Source organism: Homo sapiens, chromosome 20, assembly GCF_000001405.40.
Source record: "Homo sapiens chromosome 20, GRCh38.p14 Primary Assembly".
Classification (NCBI taxonomy): Eukaryota; Metazoa; Chordata; class Mammalia; order Primates; family Hominidae; genus Homo; species Homo sapiens.
Window position 1 is genome coordinate 51,143,023 of NC_000020.11, and position 5,444 is coordinate 51,148,466.

Here is a 5,444-nt window from a genome sequence, read left to right on the forward strand (position 1 = left end):
GAGGTCGAGGTGGGCAGATCACTTGAGGTTAGGAATTCAAGACCAGCCTGGACAACACAGCAAGACCCCATCTCTACTAAAAATACAAAAATTAGCTGGATATGGTGGTGGGCGTCTGTAGTCCCAGCTACATGGGAGGTTGAGGCAGGAGAATCTCTTGAACCGGGGAGGTGGAGGTTCCAGTAGAGCCAAGATTGCACCACTGCATGCCAGCCTGGCAGCAGAGTGAGACTGTGTCTCACAACACACACACACACACACAGAGAGAAAGAGAGAGAGAGAGAGAGAGAGAGAGAGAGAGAGAGAGAGAGAGAGAGAGAAACAGAGCCCATAGAAAACGTCTTGTGAATGCTTAAACGCACCTGGCTCCTTTTACAAACTTCTTTCCACTTCTCTTGAGTCCCATGTGAAAGTTTTCACTGCCCCCACCGGCTCCTCACCTTCTCCTTCAGAGTCTCACATGCATCTCTTTCAGTCTCAAGAGGTGCTAGAAAAAATGCTGGATTCCTTAAAGGAGTGTTTATGTTGGAAACCAGCATCACTAGGAAATGGCTGGTCCTGACCCCAAGCAACTTATCTCTGGCGGAGGTCGGAGAGGCTGGTACCCGTCTGCTCCCGACTGACCCTCATTCCTTCCTGGTTGGGTGGTAGGAACTAACAGGCCAGGCCCCTTGGTGTGGGTTTCTGGCTTCCTAGGTTCCCTGAGGTCACATCTTTTGTTCTCATCATCATCTGTCTGTTCCCAGTGAAGGAGAACTGCTTCAGGACACTGTTTCTCAAATTTCACTTCTTTGCACACAACCTTCATGGTTTTTGCTCCAGCTATGTACAATTAAAGCTACTATTAACTTAATATTTTTGTTGACATAAAAGTTTACTTAAACTTATGTCACTAAGGTAAATGGAAAGCCAATATAATGTTCTATAAATAGACTTTACAAGTAAAGAGAAATACAGTGAATCATGTTATTGTCTGCTAGCTGATACTTGTGCCTAAGAAGGCTCTTAACCCGAGAACTGCCCGTCTTTTGTTAAAAAGGAAGATGGACATGTGTTGGAGAAGGGTTAAGGACCTCCTAGCACCATCCTGAGCCTTTCTCCTTGATTTAATTGAATGGACTGAATGAGGATAGAAAAAGAGTCACTTACTCTGGGATTCAATGCTGTTTCAAGCGGTGGCCCCTCTACCATCCAAAGTCACTTGGGGTCACACGCTTTGGGAGACACCATTCCAGTAGATATTGTATCTTCAGGCCCAGCTTGTTCTGGCCTGGAGATCCTCTATAAGGGGTCCCCAAATTGGGCCACCCTTGAACTAGGAATTCCAGGTCTTGGGCAATTATTAGTGCTGGAGCCATTGTTGCTTAGTGCATATTTTCCCAGTAGACATTGGCCTTAGAGTTAAATTAAAACTCCAGGATGGGATCTAGAAATGAGCTCATATCAGTCTTCTCCCAGGGGGTCTTATGAGTGTTAAAGTCTGTGGGACCTTTCATCCCCACCTTAGCTTCTTGTCAGCCCCACACGGACTTTGAAGGAAGAGGATGGTCTTCCCAACCCCCACAGCATCCTCCGTGGACACAGCAAGCAACTCTGCAGGGTGTGCATTCACTTAACACATATTAAGTGTGTGCCAGGTGCCAGACATTGTGACAGCTATGGCAGGGCCGGGGGCAGGGGTCCTAGAAAGAGGAGGAGAGCATGGATGCAAAGCCCAACCCAGACTTTGAGGCGATTGTTTTTTAAGGCTGTTTTTAGCACTTGAAGGTACATGTCTACCTCCAAAAACTTTTCATAAACAAATGGGAAGGTTTTGCTTTCGGCAATGGCAGCTAACTTGTTTTGGACAAATCTTCCTGCTGAGAACAACTAGAAAACCTGGGCGTAAAAAACAAAATCTGATCAAAGGCTTTGGAAAGCTACCAAAGGCAACCAGGATTCAAGGGGCCAAGATCCCAGAAAGAAAAGAAACCGTTAACGCTGAGTCTGATATTTCAAACCACTTTTCCCCCTAAGGCATTCATTGATTTGAAGGCAGATTTATGGAGCTAGGGCAAAAAATACGGGCATTCAGAGACAGCCACAGAAGGAGGGCCCTGGTAAACACCCTAGGATTGATTTAGGACCCCGGAGAGCTGCTCCTTAGCAGTAAGGGAGAGCTAGAAACAGACCGTCCTTCAGAAGGACTGAAGCTCGGCTCTGAGCCATTAAAATCCATGATTGAATCAGGTTCATCTTTTCCTAACCTAACTGCCTGTTAGAAGCAAAATATACCCTCTTTGGAAAGAGACTGGAAGTTTTTTCCATCCCTCCTCATATTTTACTGCTCTGTATTTTATTCCAGCCACTGTTGCCGCAACTAATTTTGTGCAGCTGTAACTCAACATCACCTGCCTCAGCCTTTGCTATCTCTAACTTCCCATGTCAGGGCTACTCTGACGCCTCTGTCCATGGGAATCTACCTTTCCATCACGCACATGCATCCTGGAAGTGAAATGGAATTAACCACCCATAAGCAACCCTTGACCAATGGGGAATGTGAGCTGGGGAATAAATGCTTCTTTCTTCCATTCTTTAGGCAGGACATTTTGAGACGCAATTAGATTTTTGTTGTTGTTGTTTACGAGGTCTTAGCTTGGATCAACCCCCAGTTACCCCCAGTAATGACCGATTCAAGAGTGTACTCATGAATTGGCTTTCTCTCTTTCCCTGTCACATTCTTCTCAGAATCCCACTCCTGTGTGCTTGGATTACTAACAAAATTAACCTGCACACAAATCAAGGTCTCAGGTTCTCCTTTCTGGAGGAATCCAGGCTAAGACTAATACAATATAGGGGGTTAAAATATTCTACACTTTTAATCTACAAGGTCTAGCACACAATTACAAAAATGCTGGGAAGACAAAAAGGCAAGATTAGAACAAAAACCAAGAAAAAATACAGTCAACAGAAATAGAACTACAGGGAATTCAGATATTGGCATTATTTGACAGGGACTTTAAAATAATAATTATTAAAACACTCAAAGCACTAGGTGACAGGATGAGGAATTTTGGCAGGGAATAACAAACTGTAGGAGAGAATCAAATAAAATTTCTACTGAGAAATGCTTGAAAATGAGAGCTCAGTGGATGTGTTTTTGATAGTAGATTAGATGCAGCTGAAAAGAAAATTAGTAATCTGAAAAATAAATTAGAAGAACATATGTAAATGAAGCAAAGAAAGATAAAAGGTGGAAAATGAAAGAACATGAGACACATAATAAGATGCAACAGTCTAAAACATGGAATTGGAATCACAGAGGAGAGAGAGAATATGGAAGAAATACGATTAAAGATATTTGATGAGAATTATTCAAAAATGATAAAAGACATTCATCCATATATTAAAGAAGCTATAAGAACCTTATGCAGTAAATACAAAGAAAATCATCCCTAGTCATATCATAGTCAAACTGCTTAAAGCTAAAGACAAAGAGAAAACCTTATAAAGCATCCAGAGAGAAGATATGTTACTTTCAAAGAAACAAAGATAACAGCTAAAAATAATGGAAGCCAAAAGGCAATAAAATGATAGCTTCAAAGTGCAGGAAAAAAAAACTATCAACCTAGATTCTCTATCCAGAATACTACTTTTAAAAATTAAGGAAAAATGGAGACATTCTTTGACAAAAGCCAAGATAATTTCTCACCAGAAGATTAATGCTAAAGAAGATAATAAGTAGTATTCTCCAGGTAGAAGAAAAGTGATCCTTCATGGCAATTTAGGAATTCAGGATGAAATAAAGAACAATGTAGAGGATAAATAATAAATGGATAGATCTAAATGAATACTGATTGCATAAATTAATATGTTTATCTTTTTATATGATAGGGTTTGTAATGATAATAGGTTTATTATTGTGGTAACATGTTTATAATTATTACATTAAGATAATATACAGTTGACTCTTAAACAACACTGGGGTTAGTGGTGGTGACCTGCTGCACAGTTAAAAATCCATGTATAACTTTTTATTGATTTATTTTTAATTACAATTTTTTAAATTTAAGAGATAGGTTTTGCTATGTTGCCCAGGCTGGTCTCAAACTCATGGGCTCAAGTGATCAACCCACCTCAGCCTCCAAAACTGCTGGGATTACAGGTATGAGCTACTGCACCTGGCCAAAAATCCATGTATAACTTTTGACTCCTCAAAAACTTAACTACTAATAGCCTATTGCTGATCAGAAGCCTTACTGAAAACACAAATAGTTAGTTAACACATATTTTATAAGTTACATGGATTGTATGCCATATTCTTATAATAAAGTAAGCTAGGGAACCTGCACATTGTGCACATGTACCCTAAAACTTAAAGTATAATAATAATAAAATTAAAAAAAATCATAAGGAAGAGAAAATATATTTACTATTTGTTAAGTGGTGTGTGGATCATCATAAAGGTCTTCATCCTTGCCGTCTTCATACTGAGTAGGCTGAGGAGCAAGAGGAAGAGGAGGGGTTGGTCTTGGCTGTCTCAGTGGTGGCAGAAGTGAAAGGAAATCTATGTGTAAGTAGACCTATGCAGTTCAAACCCACGTTGTTCAAGGGTCAACTATACATAGAATTGAAACACATGACAATAAAAACATTTAAATTAGGAGGTAGTAAGTGGAGTTAAAGTGTTCCAAGGACCTTTTGTTTTCTGACAAATGGTAAAAGCACACACACACACGCACATATATATGCATATGTGCGTGTGTGTGTGTGTGTGTGTGTGTAGATGGAAACTTAGGGATTCAGAATGAAATAAATGTGTGTAGGGGTGTGTGTGTGTTTATGTGTGTGTGTGTGTGTGTGTGTGTGTGTGTGTGTGTATACTATTTTTTGAGATAGGGTCTTGCTCTGTTGCCCAGGCTGGAGTGCAGTGGCACAAATATGGCTCGCTGCAGCCTCGGCCTCTTGGGCTCAAGCAGTGCTTCTTCCAACTCAGCCTCCTAAGTAGCTGGGACCACAGATGCATGCCACCACATCCAGCAAATTTTAAAATTTTTTCGTAGAGACAGGATCTCACATGCTGCCCAGGCTAGACTTATTTTTTCTGGTACATCAGGGATGTATGTTGCAATCTCTAGGTAAATCCATAAGACAGTAAAAGAATGTATAAATAATAAGATAATTGAGAGTGTTATGTAATAATACATATTGAATATTTTCAAAAAGAAAATAATGAAGATGGGAAAAAGGGAGCCTATACTAGATGATGCAAAAGAAAGGTAACAAGATGATAATATATTTAAAATCGAATGAATTACATATTTTAATTAAGGGATGAAGATTATTAGACTGTTTAGAAAAACAAAGTCAACAATATGCTGCTTACAAGGGACTATCATAAACAGGAGGATAGATTGAAAATAAATGGATAGAAAAAGATAGATGAAAAGAAAGCTGAAATAGCT